The following is a 24,952-nucleotide window of genomic DNA, read 5'->3' as shown; positions in this document are numbered from 1 at the left end:
ATAACCTTTTAACTGCAGCAGCCATGGGTGACTGCCCTTTGACCTTGGAAGATTATGTGAGATTTCAATGACAACAGCTGGAAGTGAGCATGTGTGAATAGAGAACACAGATCTGAGGCCTGGTATAAAAGACTGCACAATCTCTGCCCAGATCAGAGTGCTGATTAGAAATTGTTTCCTGGTCCTGGCTTAATAGAGTGTGATCATGAAAGTTGGTGTGTGTGTGTGTGTGTGTGTGTGTGTGTGTGTGTGTGTGTGTGTTTAATTCTTCCAGGAAGAAATCATTGGTGGATTTCTTCCATATCCATTCTACTTCTTCAGCCCCTTCAAATCTTCAGGATTTTCATATAAAACAGGCTCCTCTTTCTTCGAATAAAACCTTCGCTCCTTTTTGTAGACAAAATATCTTTAAGTTATAGAGTTCTCTCCTTGAGTTTTAAAATAACCTCTACTGGGGCATTTCACATAGGTTATCATTATTTTTTGTTTAAGGATCTGTCACTCGCAAACAGACAGACACACACAGACACACAGCTTGAATAAGGACTCAGTTAAAGTGGGGATCTTACTTCTCTCATCTTTCTGATTCTACCATTTGTACAATGTATGACATATGGTGGGTACTCAGTATATCTGTGATGAATGAACACAGAAATGAAACATCTATTCTTAATAGTTTTTTCCTTTCATTCTTGAGATGTAATGGAAGATTCCTGCTACTACACAAACATATGTATAATTTCATCTTTTTTTCAACCAGCTTCATATATATTTTACCAATTTTTTAGTGAAGTCTTTAGGTGTAGTTTGCCAAACATAAACACAAGAGAAAGATTAGTAATTACTTCCTTTCCAAGGCAAGGTAACTTAGTCCAGTAGATACAGGCTACCTGGTGAATGTGGTAATTTCCATGCATAAAACCCTCAATGAATTATATTCACTGGGCTGAAGTACATGTACACTGACACAGATGCACTCTCAGATTCCTACACAGGACTCCATACTTGCTGACACTGCTCTGAAACCACCAGAATGATGCCATATGATTACTGAAAGGGCACTGGGTTATGACTCATTTACGTTGTTTTGGTTTTACCATACACTCTATCTTACCTTCTATTACTCTGGATTTTGCTAACTCTTTTAGCTCTGGATTTTGCTAACTACTCTAGTTTCTATATCAAATTAGCTTCGGTAGAAGGTGGCCTTTCCTCTATGCAAATACCTTGAGTCGGGCAAAAACCAACCTGGCTGAACAATAAAGGACAAGGAGAAGAAACTGGCGAAACTGTCTTCCAAATCAGACATGGGTCATCTGCCTCCATCCTTCTATAGCAACTCTAGATGTTATTCCAAACAAGCCACAGGACAGATTGTTTTTTCAGAACAGACCAAATCCATTTGCTGTTTCAAAATTCTATAAACAAAGCATTAAGGAATTCAATTCCCAGAGCAACTATATGGGTGTTGGCTTTAGTTTCATGGGAGCGTCTGCCAAGCTCACATATTTGTAGAACTATTGGTTTAGAGTGTCCTTTGCAGCTCAGAGCAGGAGGGACCATTGCTTGTGATCTCAATTCACTTTAAGGACTGGGTCTTGCTGGTGACAGGTATACATGATAAATGTTCCAGAAGGCTGACCTAATTTCCGTTGAAGTGAGTGTTTTGCTAAGAACATTCCCTCAAAGTGTCAGCTTGCAACCACGGATTCCAACATGCCGGGGTCCATTCTCCTCAGCGACTTATTACCATTGCTTGTAAAACTTCCCTTAAAATGAAGTTAATTTTGACTTATTTATCCACCTTCTCCAGACTTAGTTTTGAACTTAAGTAAGTTATATATCTAATGTAAAATATGTAATTATCAAACATAGTAAGTTTCATAGTTTTTAGTTGTTTGTGATCTGAAAAAAACAAATACTCAGGGCTAAATATGAATCGGGGTGAATTTGCAATGTACTTGTCTTTTCTCTTGTAAAGGGATCTATATGGCAAAATGTTCATTCATCTTTCAAAAATCATATTTCCAAGATATTATTTATTTACAATAAAGTAGGAGGGGCAGTATTACAGAAATTATAATTCCAAAATCCTAAGCCTCAATTTCCACACCTGTAAAATGACACTAATGATTATACTTACTTCATAAGTTTGTCATTAGGAATAATGAAATAGTACACTTAAAATGCTTAGCAAAGAACCTAGAACACAGAATGTGTTCAAAAAATGATAACTGTTATAAATAACAAACATAATCTTTATATCTTAGATCTTCAATCATACAGGGAATTTTTAACAGAAAAAATTAAGAAATAACCACATTCTTTTCACATGGAATGTTAAATAATGCAAGTATTCTTATAAAAGTTGTCTATAAAAATCAAAATGTAGATAATGTAATTTTATTTAAGTGAATTTTTGAGTAAAAAAATTATTTTCTAAAGCTAGTAACAAATTATTAAAAATAAATTCTCTAGAATTTTTTGATTTTTCTACAAAAAGTGAGAAATAACAGTACTTAGTCTCTAAGCTATTTTAAATGTTAGAAATCTAATTCCTAAATATAATCATATTAGTATATATATTTGTGTGTTTATGAAAATAATTGTTTATAATTCCTCAAATATTTTCAAATATAAATCACCATCTCTTCTTTAAATACATATTGAATATCTATAGAGGCCAAGCATTATTCTAGACATAAGGATACAAATTTTGGTCTTATATTTTTGGGATGATGACTACTAATACTCTAGAAATGGACGTTAGGTCAATCTTACTTGCAGGAGATCAAGTTTTATCTACTTTTTCATAAATAATGTACAGAAGTATATAGAGAAAGAATTAAAAATGGCCTCCTTTTTCCAGTTTCACTTTATTTTTTAAAAGACTTTCGTTTGCTGAAAATTCCTGTTGATAACTAAATATGCCATGCTGCCTGCTCTAGGAAACTGAATTTAATTTATTTAATTTAGAAATCTGATTTTATTTTTCAGTATTTTTTTGAAAAAAAGTTATTTAAATTTTTTTAGATGTGAAAGTACTTCAGATGGTATAAAAAGGCATATAAAATAAGCAATTAATATTAACACTAAATGCAGAAATAACTTTTTAAAATAAACTACCCTCTAGTGCAGAGCCTCCACACTTTAGCTCCTTCCGTCAATACAAATGGAGAATCATCAGAAAGCATCATTAAAGAAAGGGTCTTGATTCCTTATAGCTTTAAATCAATGCTGAAAGAATTTGGCCTTTTAGGCAGGAGAATGATCGACACATTTCACTTGACTGACTTTGATCATTGAAGCACTTTATGATCCAGGCCACTTCCTTGATTTTAGGGAACATAACCTTTGACTCACAGAACGTGTTGAGGACATCTCAGACTCGGCTCCAAGTAAGAGCGCTCTTGTTCTTCTCGGAACCACTACAATGTTTCTCATCAGGGTTATCAGCATTCGGAGGGGAATCAGTTCCAGTGTTTAGAACTGCCCTGTCCCCTCAGGATGCTCAGCATCCCTGGCCTGCACCACTGAATGCCAGCAACATCCCCTCCTTGTGAGCACCAAAAATGCCCTCACACATTTTTGAATACCCTTAAGGAGAGCCATATGGTCCCTGGAGGAAAATACCCTCCAGTGTATAAACACTGCCTTAAGACCTCAGCAGGTATTTAGTACTATGTGATCTTGCCACTGTTGAGCTGTCTGACTTATATTCTCTGTAATTAGAATATAAACTCTTATAAGGTCAGGGACTGATTATTACAATTCTTTTGAAATGCCCCTTCTTCCTCAGCCATACCCTCTACTCCTCACCCTTACCCAAGTATCTAACTCAGATTTTATAGTGAGAACTTGATTTTAAAAACTGTTATATCTAAACTACTATCTTTGGTTGAGGGGGGTTGGGAGGAGACTCTCAGACATGTGGTCTATAAATATAAACTCGACAATTTGGACTTTCTGGAAGAATCTTGATTTTGAAGATTGGCTTATCAGTCCGTATGTGGACGAGAGAGTACATTGGCCAAGCCTCCCTGATCTCCTTTTGTTGTTGCTGAGAAGGTGTGTTCACTGCACTAAAGCTCTCAGGAACATTCAGACAGCATCTTATTTGTTCACGACAGCATCATTGTACCTAAAAGTCCACAGACTCTATGGAAATACGAAATAACATGTAAAAATTGAAAATAAATATGCATTCTGTTCTCTGCTCTCAACTCAAGGATGCAGGTGAACTAAAAAGACACAGCACCAAAATGACCCGTCCTTATTGCTAAAACCAAATGAACACAACCCTGAAAATATACAGGAAACAAAATTAAGCAACAACAGGCTACATAATGTCAACCAACCATGAATTCCAATGAGTGCCTTTGTTTCAACTGCTTGTTCAGAAGTAGGGCAGCTCCTCCAGCTCTAATATTTTTCCCTCTAATCATTCTGATACTTTATTGAATATCTGTCATTTTTACAAAATTAAGAGCCAATGGCTGCTACCCAGTACCAGGTTGCATGGAAGTCCTTCTGCTTTGCGATTACCAAAGAATACTCCCTTAGTTAAATTCCTACCTCTAACATCAGAAAATCGATCAAATCTCCCAAGGTTGCAGCGTAGTCACAGACCAGATGCAAAGTACCATGTTTATGCATGTATACACAAACATATATGTATGCGAGTTCAATTTCATTTACTCCCTCGAAAACCCACACAGAGAAAAGCACTTTCTTGTCAGATGTTAACTGTCAGGGGCACTTGAAATATTTTTCACTACCGTAGGCATTTCTGACCCTCAGTGTCACCATTAGCAACAATGCCATAAGGGACATGATTTGTAGCTAATTTGAACATGGAGCCCTTCTGGCCACAGCTGGTGAAGCCAATAGCATTCTGCTCTCTTATACAGTAAATCGTTAGAAAAAGAGTCAGTAAGCTCAATGGCTAATTTCTGATGTTCCAACTACCATTAAAAGGGTTAGAGAGAAGCTAAATGTAGTGTTTTTTTTTGTTTCAGGTGCTTTAATTATAAACCTAAAATGTTTCTCTACAGCCTGATTTATTCATTCAACAAATATCTATTGATGCCAACCTATAAACAAATACGAACAGTGAACTCAGAACATATATCAAAATATTTCGTGTCATCAAGGGCTCACAGATTAGTCAAAACTTCTTTCAAAGAACAGCTAGTGGGGAAGGCTTGATTCACACCAGGAAGATCCAGTTCAAATGTCACCACCTTCTGATATCATTTCTGTATCCTTAGAGCATCACAGGTCGCTGCAATGTAGGCCTCAATAAATACTGATGACTGCTTGAGAGGAGATGAAAGTGCAAGTCAAATTTATGGGGGGCAACAAGGATAACCCTATGGATAGGAAGTCAAGTGTATATGTTGGAGGCAGAGTATAAAGTGAGTACCATTGTCAGACAGAGGTTTGAAGAGATGATAGAGCCAAAATTTGGAAGGTTTCAAGTAATTTTGAGAGTATTCTGTAAGTAATAATCAGGTGGAATCATAATTTAGTGCATTATCATTATTAGAGGAATATTTTTCTTATAGCTTATTATTTACTTTTATAAGTCAGACATGGGTTTCACTCAATTACTAGCTTTGTGACCTTAAGCAAGTTAATTAAACTTTCAATAATTTACCCAAGAAACCTTTGTTGAATATCTTCTCTGCTTCAGGTACTATGGTAGGCATTAGAGTGTACCTCTTTGACCTTCAGGTCCTTGCAGTCCAGTAGGGGAGGCAGGCCAACAGAGGAAGCATTACAATACAATGTGGTAAGGGCTCTGGTAGTGGAAGCAGGCTCTGAGGGCACAGAGGGGGGCATTAAACTAGTGAAAGGGCTAGGGAAGGCTTTGTGGAAGCAGTGATGGCCTATACAAGTCATCAAAGACCAGCAGGATTAGTGACGTGAAGTGCAGGAAAGTGACACAGTTTTTTTGTGGTTGTAAGAATAACAATAACAATAAAGTGATACGAGCTAATATTTACTGAGTGCTCACTGCATGCCAGATATTCTCCTCAGCTTTGCCATGTGTTATTTCCTGTAATTTTCAAAGTGTTATGAGGTAGGTGCTATTACATATTATAATTTCATTTTACAGATAAAGCACAGTCTAAGGTCACACAGACAGTAACTGGTAGAGTCGGGATTTCAACTGAAGCAATGTAATTAACTAAGGCACTGTTCCCTAATTGCACGAGTAAGAACACCTACTCCAGAGGCGGAAGCACTTAGAACAGGTTTGGAAGATGATGATGGATTATAACCATTATTGTAATCAATGTGTACATACAAATTCCTGATGTGCACATCTAAGTACCATAGATTTTTTTTTCTCACCAAATGATGGACTCAGTAGATTTTACCCAAACCAAAACTCCAGCTTTACAGTCCAGGGAAAGTGTCTGATAGAGTGTGGATGTTGCTCCCTCTAAATCTCATGTTGAACTGTAATCCCCAATATTGGAAGTGTGGCCTGGTGGGAGGTGATTGAATCATGGGGGCAGATTTCTCATGAATGAAACAGTGCCATATTCTTGGTGTTGTCCTCAGGATAGTGAGTTCTTGCAAGATCTGGTTGTAAAGTGTGTGTCACCTCCCCAACCCCTTCTCTTTCTTGCTCCCGCTCCTGCCATGTGACCTGTCTGCTCCTGCGTCACCCTCTGCCATGAGTGAAAGCTCCCTGAGGCCTTCCCAGAAGCCCAGCAGATGCCTGCAGCATGCTCCCTGCACAGCCCACAGACCAGTGAGCCAATTAAACCTTTTTTCTTTATAAATTACCCAGCCTCAGATATTCCTTTATAGCAAAGCAAGAATGGTCTAATAGTGTGGTTCATCAAACAACCTGGTGGGAAGGTTGTTTCTTCCTTATCAATACCACTGAAGCCATTCTCTCTGAATACAATTTGTCACCGCTAACACACTTCCCCTCTACTTCTTCCCTCTGGGCTCTATCCTTGCCCTACTACTATCCTTGACTTGGCCTATCTTTGCCTACTACTTAATTTACTATATTTCTGTTCATATGTGCAAGGATAAAGCGACACCAAATTAATAGTAAAAGGTGGGAAAGAACAAATTAAAAGTAATATAAATTAAAAGTAAAAGGTGTGGGACAGAATTACTAAAAAGTATTTTTTTGTTTTGGTTTGATTTTTTTTTAACATCTAATGAGATTCTGAATAGAATAACCCTTATTGTAAAGAAGTCCTAATTTGAAGTTGGGCATGGTGGCTCACACCTGTAATCCCAGCACTTTGGAAGGCTGAGGCAGGAGGATCACTTGAGCCCAGGAGTTTGAGACCAGCCTGAGCAATATAACAAACCCCATCTCTAAAAAATAAAAAAATAAAAAATACAAACAATTAGCTAGGCATGGTGGCATGCACCTGTAGTCCCAGCTACTCAGAAGGATCACCTGAGCCTGGGAAGTTGAGGCTGCAGTGAGCCATGATCGTGCCACTTCACTCCAGCCTGGGTGACCACGTTGTCTAATCCTGTCTCAAAAAAAAAAAAAAGTCTTAATTTGAATTTTTTTCCAAGTCACAACATTGGGGAGAAGGTCAGCAGTGAATTATAGAATGTCACTAAAAACCACAATTTAGGAGCTCACCTGGTTTTACCAATCATGTTAGACAATACAGAATTCTAATAAAGAAAAACCCTGGAGCAATGTTGTTATCTGTGTTTTTACCTGAGGGCCCCTTGGGCATGTGGACACTGCACTTACAAAGGTTTCACATGGACAAAACATGAGGGAGAGTACAAATCTCTTGCTTGGCAATGGTTTACCTCCATGAACTCTACTTCCCACACCCAAAGAGCAGGCCAACTGTGCTGCAACTGTGCACTCACAAGTCTACATAGGCAGGCTTATCATTACAGGCATATAAGCTTGCCTGTGATATAGAGTGCAGGTGTTACTGCACAGAATAGCTAACATATGGCTCCCCACACTTTGGTGGCAGCCAACCCCGATGAAATAACACAGTCTCCAGCACAGTTCCCAGTAAAGGCCACGGGAGAGGAATGCAATGGGCACCATTTCCTAATACTCCTGATGTTATTTCTAGGAGCCTATGACTGCAAAGGTGATTCCAAAGGGCTCTTCACCACTGGTGGAGGTGCTTCAAGCCTCCAAAGGGTGGGTGGATTATTTTATAATACTGAAATTCTTAAGAGCTTACAGAATACTCAAACATTAACGGTTAAGACTATACAGCCCATTAATTTGAAGATCATTCCATAATGTGTTTACTAAATGGATTAGTGAATTATTGGTGCCACAACATATAGAAATTTTGTTTATTAAATGGAATTCAATATGTTAGTTCTTCTTTTATCTTAATTTGATGATTGTCAGTTGGGGTGATTTGCCCCCAGGTGACATTTGGCAATGTCTGGATACATTTCTGGTTGTTACTACTGGGGAATGCTCCTGCCATTTGGTGAGTAGAGGCCATGGGTGCTGCTAACATCCTACAACGCACAGGACAGTGACCCACACATAGGACAATGCACGTGACAGAACACCAAAGTATCCTGCCCAAAATGTCAATGGTGCTGAGGCTGAGAAACCTTGACCTTATTTTTACTGAACTCCCTACAGTATGTTTTTTTTGTTTGTTTTTTGTTTTTTTGAGACGGAGTTTCACTTTTGTTGCCCAGGCTGGAGTGCAATGTCGCGATCTCGGCTCACCGCAACCTCCACCTCCCGGGTTCAAGCGATTCTCCTGCCTCAGCCTCTCGAGTAGCTGGGACTATAGGCATGTGCCACCAAACCCGGATAATTTTGTATTTTTAGTAGAGATGGGGTTTCTCCATGTTGGTCAGGCTGGTCTCGAACTTCCGACCTCAGCTGATCTGCCTGCCTTGGCCTCCCAAAGTGTTGGGATTATAGGCGTGAGCCACTGCACCTGGCCTACAGTATGTGTTTTTTTAAAATTACTTTCAGAAAACGCGATGCAATACTAACTAAATACCTACTATTCATTAGTTCATTTCCCTAAAACACACCAAGGGCCTACTATGTTCCAGGACTGTGTCAGTACTGGGGATACAGAGATAAAGACTGGGACCTGCCCATCAGGAGCTTGCACAGGTGAGTAAGAGTGGAAAGAGCACACAGTGGGCTCACCACCCAGGTGGAGTCACATGTGTGCCAGGGGCAACAAAAGCGCAGAGCAAGTGGCATCTAAGTAAGGCCTCTCAGAGAGGATATACAGGAAATTCAGAGGAAGGAAGGAAGGAAGGAAGGAAGGAAGGAAAAGAGGGAGAAGCAGGAGGAGGGGATGAGAGGGGAGGGGAAGGAGGAAGAAAGGAAAAGAGAAAAGAAAGAAGGCAAGTGGCACGTTTGGTTTGTGATGGCTGGAGCTGGGACTTCTGGGAACACTGATGAGGCTGAAGAACCAGGCAGGCCTTTCTTAACTGGGACGTGACTGGCATTTGGGGAAAGTTAATTCTTTCTTAGGCAGGTCTATCCAGAGCATTACGAGACATTTAAGATCCCTCACTGCCCTCTTCCTTTTCCCCCCATACACTAAATGGCAGAAGGTGCTTCCTCCCCAGGCATTTTGACAAGCGAGGGAGAGCCTCTACTTGTCCAAGTACCCCATAAGCACCAGCATCGCCTCCTCACTGGAGCTTGGGTAAAGTGCTGAAGAGTTCCTGAAGAGTAGTAAGCTTCCAGTAATGTGATCAGATGGAAGATAACATGGCAGTTCTCACTGGGAAGAGAGTTGAGCCCCTTTATCTCCAGTGGTCTTTTCCTACTGCTGTGTCTTATCCTTGTTGCAACAGACTTGTTAAAGTTTGATATCACATATACACAGCAGAAAATGTGGCCATCGGCCCAGCACACTAAAGAGATTTTCAAAACACAAAGAAACATTGAATTGATTAACATTTCACCTGAGATACATCTTAACTGAGCAACTCCAACTGGGTCTTACTTTGTAAATTATCTCTACCATGGTAAAACACTCTAGGTATTCTTACATATTCAAAGCAAATGGCTTTAAAAACAGACTTCCATTTTATTAAAAAGTTAAAAGAGAAGCAACTGCTTTTATTGCATGCAACCATTCTATAAAATAGAAAATTAAAGGGAGAAGGTAACATTCACCTAAATTTATTTATTTCTGGAGACGGCGTTTCACTCTGTCACCCAGGCTGGAGTGCAGTGGTGCAATCTCGGCTCACTGCAACCTCCGCCTCCTGGGTTCAAGCAATTCTCCTGCCTCAGCCTCCCAAGTAGCTGGGACTACAGGTGCATGCCACCACACCCAGCTAATTTTTGTATTTTTAGTAGAGACGGGGTTTCACTGTGTTGGTCAGGCTGCTCTCAAACTTCTGACCTCGTGATCCACCCACCCTGGCCTCCCAGAGTGCTGGGATTATAGGCGTTAGCCACTGCGCCCGGCCACATCCACCTAAATTTCTATACTTTTGGAATTTGCTTTTACTCCTTGAACTGATGAGAACCTGGAGCCATGTCTTTATATACATAAGCCTTTGTGTGAATTTTGTGTTTTTTTTTTTGTTGTTGTTGTTTTTCTCACTGTGGAAAGCAAGGGAAAAAGTATTAGAGGAGGAAGGGAGATAAAATATGTCCAGAAACATGAAAAGACTTATGTAAGGAAAAATCATGCATACATTTGTGGATCGGGGGCTTTTTTGGAAAGTGTGTGGGGTGCTCATATCTGGCCCCAAATTAAAGATAACGAGTACTGACACTGGAGAAGGAGTCAAGACTCCAAGATTCGTAGGACACACGTCACATGTAGGGTCTCTTCATATTCAACCCTTACAACATCCCCTCTATAGAGATGTTTGGCACTGGGCTCCATAAAATTACTACAACGTACAAAGTGTTAGAGCTCAGACGAAAGAAGGAAAGGCTTTGTAAGGAAAATTGGAGGAAAGGAGGAAGCTGGGGAAAACTCTATAGAGTATTCACAGACATAGTGAACAACTAGTCTCTATCTACTCTGATGAGTGTGCAAATGGAAAACGGATTGAGATCTTAGCCCTACAGTGTAGGTTACTAAATGATGGCATGGATTTCTTACGGCTTCTGGAGAAGTGCTGGGTTTAGGGAGCTTTACATCAGCACTGGTTCTCAGTCATTCAAAATAATTAGGTTATGGTTACTCCTTGGAATATAGCATGGAGTATCACCACCAGGGCTTCTGAATCAAGACAAGAACAGCAATAACAACAGCAGGAACAGCAATAGTGATCATTTATTGAAGACTTACTATGTACCTGAAACTAAAGCTGCAAAGAAATCTGAAAGTTAGGTACTAACTTCTTTGCTTCCTGAGAAAACTAAGACAGAAAGTTTAAATGATTTGCTTGAGGTCACACTACTAGAAAAGGACAAAGCCAGGATGTAAACCTAAATGATTTCCAAGCCCATCTTCTTCCCACAGGGGCACCATCCTCACTGTACCATGGTTTGCCTTTATGCAAAACTGCAACTTACTATCCCCAACAGCTCACTAATATAAAACAGTTCTATTTCACATATAGCCTTTAAAGCATGAACCTGGATTATACACACCTGAGAGGGAAGTCTCGTCTAACTCATTTTAAAAAGAAATCTTTGCTCTTTCCTATGGTGTAACACTCAATGAGACCTTAAGCAATTTTTTATTATTGATGATGATGATATCTTATGGATTTTTTTCTACTCATTTACTCCTTGACTTGTGCACTAAAATGGCAAAGCATATGAGCAACTGCATTCATGTTTCGTTAAAAGACTGTCATCATCACCTGCTTTCTACCATTACTAGAAAGAAAATGTGACTTCCTTCATCTCTGTCCTCCTCTGCAACATTCATACAGAGATAACCTGGCTGCTACTGCATTTTTCCAGCTTAAAAATTTAAAGCCAATAAATCCAAGTACTACCAGGTTATTCTGCTAGACTTGTCCTTCATCCAGTTCAGCTACAGAAGGGGATAATGATCTGTCATAAAGGTAAATTCATTACCACGAAATAATATCATCATACTTCTACTACCCATTTTCACAGCAAGGCATGCTCTCTCTGTAATGCTGTATCTTAGTCCTCTGGGGAGCAGTTTACTGCTGACACAATAATAATAACAACAACAACAACTGACATTTATAGGAAGACAAGACAGCCTGTATTTTCTAACTCTTGACAAAGAAGGGCTCCCACCTCTACTTCAGATGCATCAGTTATCATCACAAAATGCTCAGAAAAATCCAGAGTCTTTAAAAGATGCTAGCAAATGGATCTCCTAAAGATTCATGAAAGTTTAGCTGTCACAAACAGGTAACTCAATTGCCAACCTCCTTGTGCTGGGGAAGCACTGATAGTGGCATTACTCCAGAGCAACTTAATAAAACACAAAACAGAAGCACAGTCATATGTGGGTACTGGAAATGATTCTTTATGCATTGCTGGCTGATTCAATGGATCACTCGACACACTTATCCAGGTGACTGATTCTCAGATTGGTTTAAGCAAATCCCATTTTCTGGTGTTGGGTGGTGGTGTTCTCTTAGTCCTTTTGGGCTGCTGTAACGAAACACCATAAACAAAGTAGCTTATAAACAACAGAAATCTATTTCTCACACTTCTGGGGGCTAGAAAGTGCAAGATCAAGGCACCAACGGATTTATTACCCAGTGGGAGCACTCTTCCTCATAGATCACACCGTCCACATCCTCACGTGGCAGAAGGGCTAGCTAGCTCTCTGTGTTCTCTTTATAAGAGCACTAGTTCCATTCAAGAGGGTTCTAGCCTCATGACCTAGTCTCCCAAAAGGCCCCACTTCTGAATACCATCACCATGGAGTCAGGATTTCAACATATGAATTTTGGGGGGACACAAACATTAAGGCCATAGCAGCTGTGGTTTGCTGTAGAATGCAAAAATCCTTCCAAGCTCATGCCACTGCTCCCATCCCCCAGAAGTTTTTTTCCCTAAAGACACAGCTTTAATTTAAATAGGTAATCTGTGCTGCATTCACCAACCCAATACTTTCTGAATTTTTCCTATATGGACAGTATTGGGTTAGATGTGACAGAGGAAGGCAAGGTGAATTAGAAAAGAAAAGTCCTCCAAAAGGCATACTGGAGCAGGCTGGTTCCTAAACTTTGGCTTAGTGTGACTCTTCTTACAGCATAAGAGTTTTCCGTACCCTGATATGTCAAGACAGACAATGCCTGGCTGTGCATGGATTTGCTGTTCCTATAGAATAACTCCTCCAGGACTCCAAGGCCAGTATGTGGACCACTATGTGTTTTTGAGGTTGGGTGGTACTTCTGAAAAACCTCCACCATCTAGGAAGTATTCAGGGGAAAACCTTACTTTGCAGGTACCTTGTTATTAATCATGGTAAGTGGTAAAGAAGAAGTGGGTGAACAAGAGAAAGCATTCAAGAAACAACAGCTGAGGGGAAAAAATACCACACCAAATCCTACAGCTGCTATTTGAGAACAAAATCTAGCAGCACTTTGGGAGGCCAAGGTGGTGGATCATCTGAGGTCAGGAGTTCGAGACTAGCCTGGCCAACGTGGCAAAACTTTGTCTCTACTAAAAATACCAAAATTAGCCAGGCATGGTGGTGTGCGCCTGTAGTCCCAGCTACTTGGGAGGCTGAGGCACAAGAATCGCTTGAACCCAGGAGGGGGAGGTTGCGTGAGCAGAGATGGCTTCACTGCACTCCAGCCTGGATGACAGAGTGAGACTCTGTCTTAAAAAAAAAAAAAAAAAAAAAAAAAGAACAAAATCTGGGTCTCCAGGATGATAGGTGAAATGGCTAAAAGGTAGGCAGGTAGAGAACCAGAGAAGTGAGAGAAGCAAAAAGGCTGAGTACAAGTCTCCGAAAACAATCAAAAGAAGGCTGGGTGCGGTGGCTCACGCCTGTAATCCCAGCACTTTGGGAGGCCAAGGCGGGCGGATCACGAGGTCAGGAGATTGAGACCATCCTGGCTAACACGGTGAAACTCTGTCTCTAATAAAAAATACAACAAAAATTAGCCGGGCGTGGTGGTGTGTGCCTGTAGTCCCAGCTACTCGGGAGGCTGATGCAGGAGAATGGTGTGAACTCGGGAGATGGAGCTTGTACTGAGCCAAGATCACACCACTGCACTTCGGCCTGGGCGACAGAGTGAGACTCTGTCTCAGAAAAAAAAAAAAAAAAAAAATCAAAAGAAGACAGTGTCTTGCTAACAGGAAAGCAATCCTTTGGAGCTAGGCTCCAGGTCTGGATTCTGGCCATATTCTTTTACTAACCAAGCCTCAGAGTCTTCTTCTGTTAAACGGGACTAATGTTGTCCATCTGAGGATTAAACAAGAGGGCAAGCCCTGAAGACAGGATGGTCTTCCCTTCTGTTTCCATCCTATTGGAAGAGCATTGAAGGAATCCTACCCCTCAAATGCTTACATGGGGGCTTATAAAATGTCTAGGCTCTCAGTTTATCTGCCTAACAGGACTGCATGGGGGTATCAGATTTCATAAGTCTACACTGCAAAACCACCACAGCTATGTAGAGTCTCCAGGTGTCTCCAGTCTCTAACTTGCAACCTCTCTAATACTTCTCTTGTTTTCTGCTGTTCATAAAAAATGCAGAGACTTCTGCAGGTGCAGCCAATGGCCGTCTTGTGTTTAACGGAGGTTCTGGCCTGATGCTTTGGGGGGCATGGTAATGAGTTGCTTATGGTTAACCTCTGCCCTGCTAACAGGTTCTAGGAACTCTGGTCCTTTTCTCTTCTGCCACCCCTTCCCATCCCCTCCTTCCCCTTTGTATTTGCCTCTGGCTACCTTAATATCAATCATTCCTGCTCCCTACCATATCTCCATTTTCTACCTGACTTCTTTTCCTTCTCTCTCCTTTTAAGGGGTTACTGCTTTTCACACTCCCATGCCCACCGCATTTCCACCGTTTTCTCCTTTGCCCCTGACTTACTTTATACTACACTATTTTTGTATACAGTAAGAATTTTGGTTAGGGACCAGTAAGTCTCCATCTTGAAAAGAGAATAGAAATCTACTTACATTTCATTGTGATCATGATAGTTGCAGCTAACATTTGATGAGTACCCTCCCTTAACCCCTGCTATGAGACAAGCACTATTACTATTCCTGTTTTCAGATGAGATTAAGAGACTTGAGCAAGGTTGCACAGTTATTAATTGGAGGTTTATGACTTTCCCTCATTTTGTACATCAGGAAGGAGGAAAAGGTGGTGCCACGTTATTGTTCTCTTTCCTTATTTATTCCTCATACAGCTGGGTATCTCAGGGAGCATTTGTATGTACTATAAACAAAATTTTGGGGGACCAGGGGAACTTTCATCTCTTCAATCCTACAAAAAAAAAAATCAGATCTTAGATCAAATGGCAGGAATTTGAAGAACAACTGTTGTTTCTCTTCCATGGACCATCTCAGTGTCCTGTTCCCCACTGCCTCCTGAGGATATTCTATGAGTTCCATGTTCCTAGGCAGATCCTTGTCAGCCATATTTGAAACGTATCCCAACTATAAACTCCCCATATTTTCCACCCGTTTCTCAAAGTTGTGGGCAAGCAGCTCTTTGAAAAGGAATTCATACACTAATTAAACTGAAGATTTAACCAAAGGAATTTTAGGTTGACATAACTAATGCTTAGTATGCTTTTGCTTTAGAGGACAACCTCAAATAAACTCAGAATGGAGAGAGAGCATAGCTCAATGATGTCACCCTGATCTCTCTCTCTCTCTCTTTTTCTTTTTTAGATGGAGTCTCGCTCTGTTGCCCAGGCTGGAGTGCAGTGGCGTGATCTTGGCTCACTGCAACCTCCACCTCTCAGGTTTAAGCAATTCTCTCACCTCAGCCTCCTGAGTAGCTGGGATTACAGGCACGTGCCACCATGCCCAGCTAATTTTTCTATTTTCAGTAGACACGGGGTTTCATCATGTTGGCCAGGCTGGTCTCGAACTTCCGGCCTCAAGTGATCTGGCCCACCTTGGCCTCCTAAAGTGCTGGGTTTACAGGCGTGAGCCACCGCGCCCGGCCAATGTCACCCTGATCTCTTATTTTGATTACTATAGTAGAACCCTAGTTGGTTTCCCTTCTTCTGCCCTTGTCTCCTACAGTGTACTCGGAACAGCATAAAGAGATTTTGTTTCTCCTATTCTCAGTTCCTGGAAATGGCATTCATGTTATTAAGAGGAAAAGCCAAAGCCTCCCAATAGCTTCAGTGGATCTCAAGTGTGATCCCTGGACCAGTGGCACTGGCATCACTTGGACCCTTGTTAGGAATGCAAACTTCTGAATCAGAAACTGTAAGGGTAGTGCCCAGAGATCTGTGTTTTAATAAGACTTCCAAGTGATTCTTATGCTGCTGAAGTCAAACAGCCACTGTCCTGCATGAACTGCCCCAGGCTTTTACCTGAGTTCCTTTTCTCCTGCTCACCTTGCTGTCTTCATTCCATCCACACTAGTCTTCCCCAAGGAAATCTGTGTGTCGCACTCCCTCACCTTTTCTAGGTCTTGTTCAAATGTCAACTTCTTAGCAATGTGTTTGTGGCCATCATTGCCTTTCAAACCAAAACTACTCTGGACTCCCTATTCCTCTTTCTTTCTTAATTTTTCTCCATAGCACTTATTATCATCTCATGCACTAGATACTTTTCTCATTGATATTTTAATTATCTGTCTCCATCAACTAGAAGGTAAGCTCCTTGAGGGGCAGGGATTTTATTATTCAGTGATGTATCCTGTGCAACTACCAAGGTATCTGGAATAAAGTATGGGCTCATTAAATATTTCCTGAATGTTGAGAGAAGGAATGATTACATTCTGCCTCTTAGAAGCCATTTGACCTGTGCAAGGTACTTAATCGCTTTGAGCCTCAGTTTCCTCACCAATAAAAAGAGAATGAAGATGAAAAGCAGACACAGTGCACAGATCATTTAGCCATTAGATTAACAGTAGCAATTGTGACCCTCAAAATAGGAAAAAACCATTTCAATATCATTAGAACCAAATGAGGAATAATGGTTTGAACTTTTAAAAGCATTTTTAGAATGTGGAGAACATTTTTGGGAGTTGGGGGTGTACTAAAGATACATTTCCCTTTCTGAGAACAGGTTGGTGAAAAAAAGAGTAATTTTCCTATGCTGAAATTATTTTCCCAAAAGGCAGCAATTTGATGAATTAAGAACAAAGGAATTATAAACATACAATCTAATTATCCTTCAAAACAAAATACATATTGAATAGGAAACACATTGAAAACTTAGGTTTGTTTGTGGATGTTTTTTCCAAAATATTGCAATAAAATGTTTGGGAACATCTAATAAAACTAATATGCAGCTGGATTTTCCTGCCCTAAAACTAATTTGTGCTGATTACAAGATAGGTCACAAGGTCTGCAGGCTTTATTTTTGATGCATTCATTATAATTGTTACTATGGACGAAGACTAAACACAAAAAATAAAACATCCTGTTGGGGAATGATCTACCCAACACACACCACATGTTTTCTCTTGTATCATTAGTCTAAAGGGGATTTCCACAAAAACTGAGATTCTTAGAAACTAAGCTTTTACTCGTCATTGCTGCATATTCCCACTTAGTCACTGTCCTGGGACCTCCCAGTTGCTCTCTGATGAAATAAATCTGAGGTTGTACACTAAAAAAATAACTGTAGCTATGAATTAGCTATTTGGAGAACAAAACCCTCTTTTTGTACTGTTATGTTTAACAGTATAATATCATGATCAACAGCTTAACAATTTCTTAACATGACTGCATTCCATATAGGTTCTATATGACCAAGACTTTTGTAGAGTACCCATCCGGAGCATTTAAAACTAGGAGATGTTACAGGTCCTAGCCCACACTTCACTGCTATGAATGAACAAGGTCAAAAGAGAAACTCTGCCCACTGCATGGGTAAATGGCAGTTGTCACAACACATACCTTCACACCTACCACTATCTCCCCTGTGTAAATAACCCTTTTGGTCCTAAGCAACAGTAGTGTGTCCAAGTAATATTGTAAATGGGAAAGTTCTCTCTCAGAGGAGAGCTATGGATGAGACTCAAAGGAAAGGTTACCAGGTCAGCAGCGGCTAAGTGCTGCCAACAACCACCTTAGGAAACAGCATTGTTGTTTGCTTTTGTAGGTGACCTGGCTCAGACAGAACCTACCATTTCACTCCCCTTGAAGAACCCAAAGTTCTTTCCACAGGAGAAACTGCTTTCAGGAAGAATCTGATGTCAATCATTTCTGTTTGGAGGTGAACTAAATCAGCATGTTCATACTCTCTTAAAAAAGGCTCTGCATTCTAAACCTCATTTCTCTTTAAATAACAATAGACATTATACTGTTAAATAAATCTTCAGGAAATCTATCAAGGGAAGATAATGAGAGGAATTTTTAAAAAGCACTTTAAAAAATAACCACAAGGGTAAATGCTTGCTTTTCCTATATTCAGGAGCTTCAGTTTTTACCTTGTAAGGCCAATCCTGTTTGTTTACTCTGTAAAGTCGAGTCCTTAAGAAAATATCAGTTCTTAAAAAACACCAATGGGAACTGTCTGTGGCTCAGCTTTAATCAAAAGTTTGGCTGTGAGAAATATTTAAAATCATCCAAGGACTATGAGACCTACCTGCTTCTCAGGATTTATAAATTTCATGATGTGAATTTCTCCAGCTCTTATAAAAGTCCTGATGGATTGGCAGCAAGTTACTTTCATGGATCACTCAGAATCACTTTTATTGAGTTACACTTTTGTATTAGGTTCTCAGTTTCTAGTTAGTGGGCCCTAAAAGAAGCTATCTTACCAAATCCTTTAGTCTATCTACTTGAATAGCACTGACTGTTAGCATATCACCCGGTGTCCTCCTGCTGAAGTTCTACGTGAGAAATTTACATCACAATTAAGTGCCAGGGAAAGCTTCCTTCCCTTGAGGAACTGGTATGTATTTTCTCATGGGTAATGAGAACCACATGATTAATCATACGTTTCTCTTTTTCCTTTGGCTGCCAGGAAACTCAGAATCAAACTTATATCTCAATGTTATTAACTATGTAGAACCATATGGTAGAACCTTTGTTCAATTCTTTTTCTCTGATTTTTACCTTTCTACTTTAATTTATGTATTTCCTAATTCTCATTTTTTACTTGTTTATATTTTCTATCTTACTGTATGTATTCTTATAAGCCACCAATCTTTATAAAAATGGAGGTTTATACATGTGTATGTACCTCTATGTGTATAGGTACATATATAAACACATACATACATATCGAGCTTACATATGGGTGTGTGTGTATATACATATATATACACATATATAGCCAGCTTACATATGGTATGTGTGTGTATATATACATACATACATATATATATGTGTATATGTATACTGGGTAACTAGAAAGACTATAATTTTAGTAGTCTATTTTCATGAGAAAGAACTAAAACAATATTGGTTGTAATGGATTAGTCATTGTGGAGAATTATTTTAAATAAATTTCTGTGGGCTATCGAAGAATATATAGAAATAGCCATGCTTAATGGTACTTTCTGTAACATTTTTGTATAATATAAGTAAGTATTTAGAGTTCTTGAAATCTAATTTTCTAAATGGCCTTGTTCTTAAAAATTTCAGACAGGTGTCAATTTTTAAAAATTCAATATGCTTATTACTCATACTCTAGTGAAACTGGTATAGATCTGCTGGAATATCATAAAATTATACTTAGAAGATCTGTCAGGTACCTCATGAGATAACGCATAAGCAAGTGTTTTGTAAAACTCTAGAGTGTAATTGTTAGCTATCACTGCTATTGCCTAAAACACATAAAATATGATCCAGAGATGAATTGTATCTTACTGGTAAGCATGGTAATTACTGTGGAAATGCGGAAAACAACTGTTGAAACAAGTTAAAAAAATTTTTTTTAATGTCATCCTCAGTTGATTTGCTCCTTGAGAGGACCTGGCCAGCTCATGGATGAGTTTTTTGTAAGTTCCAGAAACTTTTACTGGGACTCTCAAAAATACGGATATACTCACAAACCCTCAGATATTTGAAAACTCTTTCATCTCATGAGTATAAAACATTATCTAATTTTAAAATATTCTGCATAACAAACAGAAGTAAAAATCTCAGAGATGAGAAGCTTTCTCAGTGAAGGTATTGGCCTGTTTGTTACTTTCTTTCTGTTTATTAAATACAACTTAGCTATTCACTAATAATCCAGGAAGCACAGAACTAAGACATTAACCAGCTTGTGTTCCAAACTAAAAGGAGGTTAAAAACAGAGCATTGTAATACAAACAGCTTATAAGTACAGCGTGTGTACCTACTGTTCAGCCATTTAAACTTTGAGTCGCTGTACAAACAAGTCTATCTTGAGGAAACAGACTGGGTAATTTTCCATTTGGACTGTTTGAGATTTCACCAAGAGCCTCAAACTTGCAGAAGTCTGTGTTGCCAGACATTTTCCTCAAATTTGTTATCTACAGTTCTTCCCATTAAGATTTCCCTTTAACAAAAATGCTTTTCATAAAGTTTGTGCTTTAAGTGAAAGCTTTTCTTCTACAGACATTGAGATTAAATTAAAAAGAAAAATTAAAGAGGTAGTGGCCTCATTTTGGAAACATAAGTTAAAGCTCTCTTCTGTATAGCCTAAGACAGACCCAGATCAAGATTTCAAACACTTGAGTCTTCAAAGTTCAGAAGAGAGTTCAAAAGATTGAAAAGGAAGGTAAAATTCTAATCAATAAAAAGATCAAGATGCAAAATTGCTGGAATGGCACTAAATGCCAACAGTGATTTGAGGGATCTTTAGAGCCTCTTGATACCGGATGGGAATCTGTCAAGGAAGGAAAAATTCAGCACTTAGAATGTAACTAGAGAAGATCATCTTCTTTTTAGCTTCTATAAACTCACTGGAACACTCATGAACAACTGTCAAGCAATGGAAAAGAGCTCTAGTATACAATTATTTTAGAAATGCATGAAAGTACATTTCATAAGTTCAGGTCTCAAAAATTTCAAAATAACTACTCTACAAACACAAGTGAGCAGTATGTTAGGATGACTATTACTCGGAAGGAAATAAATAGGATCTTATTTTCCAAGTTAACGCAGTCACTTTGAAACACCGGGACGTTTCTCCCAGCGTGTTGTAAGTTATCAATAAGTAAAATAAAGTCCAGTTCAATGAAGATGGGCAATGAAGTATAAAAATCTTTTTAAGTTGTTTCTACTTTTTGAGTACTGGCTATATGCTGAGGACCCTGCTAAACACCTTGTAGGCATGGTCTCATTTAAGACTCTCAACAGCCATGAGGTAGGTAGTATTATTATCTCCAATTTACGGAAGTAAACCAAGGCTCAGAGAGAAACAGTTATTTATCCAAAATCATAGTCAATGAATAGCTGAGCCAGGAATAGAAGCCTGTTTTCTGGGTTCCTGATTTAATGCATTTTCTACCAACATTCTGACTGGCTGAACTACAGAATTGGGTTAAAGCAAGCTCTGGTGACAGTGAGTCCATGGCCAAAGGTGAACTGATCGTTTCTTTGTCTTATGCTGCAAGGATTATCTAAAAGGGTAGTACGTTAGTCCATTTTCACACTGCTATAGAGAATACCACCAAGAACTGGGTAACTTATTTTATTTATTTTTTTAAAAAAAGAGGTATACTTGAGTCACAGTTCTGCATGGCTGGGGAGGCCTCAGGAAACTTACAATCCTGGTTGAAGGGGAAGCAGACACATCTTACACGGTGGCAGGCAAGAGAGAGCGTGTGTGAGCACAGGAAAATACCATTTATAAAACCATCAGATCTCTTGAGAATTCACTCACTATTATGGGAACAACGTGGGGGAAACTGCCCCCATAATCCAATCACTTCCCTCCCTTGACACATGGGAATTACAGCTCCCTCCTCCCTCGACATGTGGGGATTACAATTCGAGATGAGATTTGGGTGGGGACACAGAGCCAAACCGTATCAGTTATACAAAAGCATGAATGCCTTACCTCCATCCCCTCATTACCTTGCAAAGGCCATACCACACTACTTGGCGATTATCCAAGCTCATCATAAACTTTCAGACCACACTATGCCTTTGGGGGTGCTTTTTTATTTTTTTGGAACCTCTTTCTCTATCCTCCTTACCCTTCTCTGCTGGTTGAAATCTAACTTTCCGCTTCCTGTCCCTAAAGTCTGAATTAAAGCATTCTCTTTTCCACATTCTCAGAGCACTTTGTTTCACAGTTAGAGCACTTAGCATATTTACCCTGCATTGTTATTAGGTGCAAACCTGCCTATCACCTGCATAAAAAAGTATGGCTCTTAAAGGACTGCATCCAAAACATGTTGCTATAGCCATGTGTCTTCAACAGCACCCTGAACACAGCAGACACTCAATAAATGTTTCATGTAGAGTTAAAATAGGAAACTCAGGTACTACTACCGCAACATTTATATCAAAGAAAGGACTATTCTCAAAGGAAGTAGGGAGTATTTTTGCTCACTCTTCTTTTTGAAAGGACTTTTCAGACAGCCCATCACCATTCCAAGGAAGGTAATGGGGCTATTTTTCTGTTTAGGAACCAGTGGTTTAAGTAATGTAAGCTATGGGTCAGTGGTTTGCAATGATGGGGCTGATCGAAAGACAATCACACTCAGCCCTGCTAAGGTTAATGGCACTGCCTCTTATAGAGGAAATACAAAAGTGGAAGATAGGGAAGAAACCAATAAAAACATTTACACACACCTTTAATGGTATGCAGAGTAGAACCCACTTAAATGAATACTAACTAATGAAAACATCTTGAAAAGAGAGTGATTTTTAGAGAAACCTTTTATCTACAGGTCCTATATTTATAGAGCAAACCTTTTAAATAAATACAGGGTAAAAAATGAATTAAACTGGTAATTGTTGTGACTCATTGTGGTTCATATAACTTTCATTAGGCCAGTGGAATAAATGAACGATTTAACAAAAGGAAGCTCTTCTCCACCAGTTTATGCCATGTACTTCACATTATAAGTAAGAACCTCCTCTGTAGGTACCACAGACCAAAAAAATTGTCTTAGCAAGGCTGGACTTTACCCATTCTGCCGTACTTCTAGCTGGCACAGTCGAAGACTTTTCTAAGAGGAGGTGAAAGAATTCAGTTCAACCAGAAAAATGCATGAAAAGAGAAACATATTTGTCTTAGCCCTCCCAATATATATGAGAGGTTTTCTTTCTATGAAACTTATTATTTTTTTCTTTTTTAAAATGAACTTTGATGTCTTAAAGTTACAGGTGGGTAAGGACTATGACGAGGGGGTAGAAATCGAGGCTCAAAAGCAGAGATAAGAGTTGGAATCACAAGGTACTCAAAACTTTTTCTAAAATCTTAGAAGTTGTTTGTCAGGGATTTAAATCTTATGCTTGACAGATATTTTAGACCAGTGGCTTAAGAAAAAGGACACTAATATTTCCTCTTAAGATCACCAAATACAAAGAAGAAATTACTTGGGACAACTGTGTTCCTACAGCCCTCAGCAACTAATGAAATGTATCTATTTACTAAAACATCTTTGTGGTTTAAGCCTATTTTGTCTCTGAGCTGATTGTCTCCAAAAAAGAAAAGCCTAAGTAAAAGCCAATTCAAAGTGATCTGAATGTCAATGGGGAGAACATACTCAATGCAAATAAGAAAAAAGCCTGGAGATTCAAGGGAGTTTAAGAATAAATAAACGAGTCAATCTGAAGTCAAATACTGATAGGTTAACAGAGTCAAAAGATTTCTTAAGTGTATTCTGGATCAACTGGAGCATCATTTATTCAGTGTTGTATTTATTTGTTTTGGCTCTTTGAGGTAATTTTGGATGCTTATACTTTTAAAGATTATGTTTGAAAATCTTAGAATGCCAGATCAGTTCAGAATAGAGGGTGAAAGTGATACCACGGTAAACACAGAAAGACACCTTTCAGTACCCTGCAGTACTCTGCAGTCATGGGGGTGCACTGGTGTGCTGAATGTAAAGAATGTTCCCCCTAAGAGAGGAGTGTGCATTTCTTATGCAACAGCTTTGTTACCATATTCAACCTGAAAATGAGTACTGCTGGGCTGAAAAGAAAATATGCAATATAGCCACTGGTTTCTCAGCATTGTCCAGGGGACCTGGGATGGAAATGAAGGAATTCCTAATGACTCAAAATTATTACAATAGCTCATTTTACATATGGCTTGATTGTTCATAAAGTGCTTTCAGATACATCATATCATTAAATCCTTACTAAATCCTTGGGAGCAAAGAAGGGCAAGAAGCATTCGTGACTATTTTACAGACGAGGAAACTGAGGCACGGGAGGTCAGGTACCTTCCTAAGGCCAGTTACAATTAGTAAGTGTTTCTGTTCTTAAAGCGTTTCACAGCCAGGTGAGCGGTGGAGTCAAGGTAGGGTCTCCCTTTCTCTCCCACCCTTGCACTTGCCAAGCTCCAATTAGACGACCACACTCTTCCTTTCAACAAAGTTCTGCCCGAAAGAATTATCCAATGTACCACTTCGAACTTTACCCATGTTCTGAACCCAGTAAGATGATGAAAAAGACTGAGCAAGAGAGACACCATGTCTTTTATGTCTGCTAGGAAATATGAGGTGGACATTGCCTTTCTTTTCATACAGGTTCTTGCTTCAACTCTAACCCGGAGCCCACTCCTAGTTTACTCTGGCCTCCCTTTGCTGAATCTCTCTCAGCACAAAGATCTCTTCATGTCAGTCAGCTTTGCCATGGAATGAGTATTTCTCTCACACTTTGACTAGTTACAGCCACCTCTGCCTCGTATACAATTTTCTGTCAGAGTGCTGCACTTAGGACAGCTGATGGCTATGCGCATATGAGGATGGTGGTGGTGACGTAGACGGAAGACCCAGATGT

At 39.4% G+C, this 24,952-nt stretch overlaps 1 protein-coding gene across 4 annotated transcripts in view, besides 1 other annotated feature; it reads right to left on the bottom strand.

Annotated features, from left to right (window-relative positions):
• NFIA (nuclear factor I A) overlaps window positions 1-24,952 on the bottom strand; it is a 385,562-nt gene that overhangs the window by 142,737 nt on the left and 217,873 nt on the right. The window lies entirely within an intron of this gene.
• Window positions 18,655-19,253: an enhancer, noted in NCBI's record as "OCT4-NANOG hESC enhancer chr1:61766471-61767069 (GRCh37/hg19 assembly coordinates)". NCBI's record gives its function as "activates a minimal SCP1, AML or CMV promoter by ChIP-STARR-seq in naive H9 embryonic stem cells {active_cell/tissue: H9 hESC(naive)}" and the evidence as "EXISTENCE:reporter gene assay evidence [ECO:0000049][PMID:30033119]".

Source organism: Homo sapiens, chromosome 1 (assembly GCF_000001405.40).
Source record: "Homo sapiens chromosome 1, GRCh38.p14 Primary Assembly".
Taxonomy (NCBI): domain Eukaryota; kingdom Metazoa; phylum Chordata; class Mammalia; order Primates; family Hominidae; genus Homo; species Homo sapiens.
The sequence above is the reverse complement of the archived record's forward strand: the minus strand, read 5'-3'. Positions and strand labels throughout refer to the sequence as shown.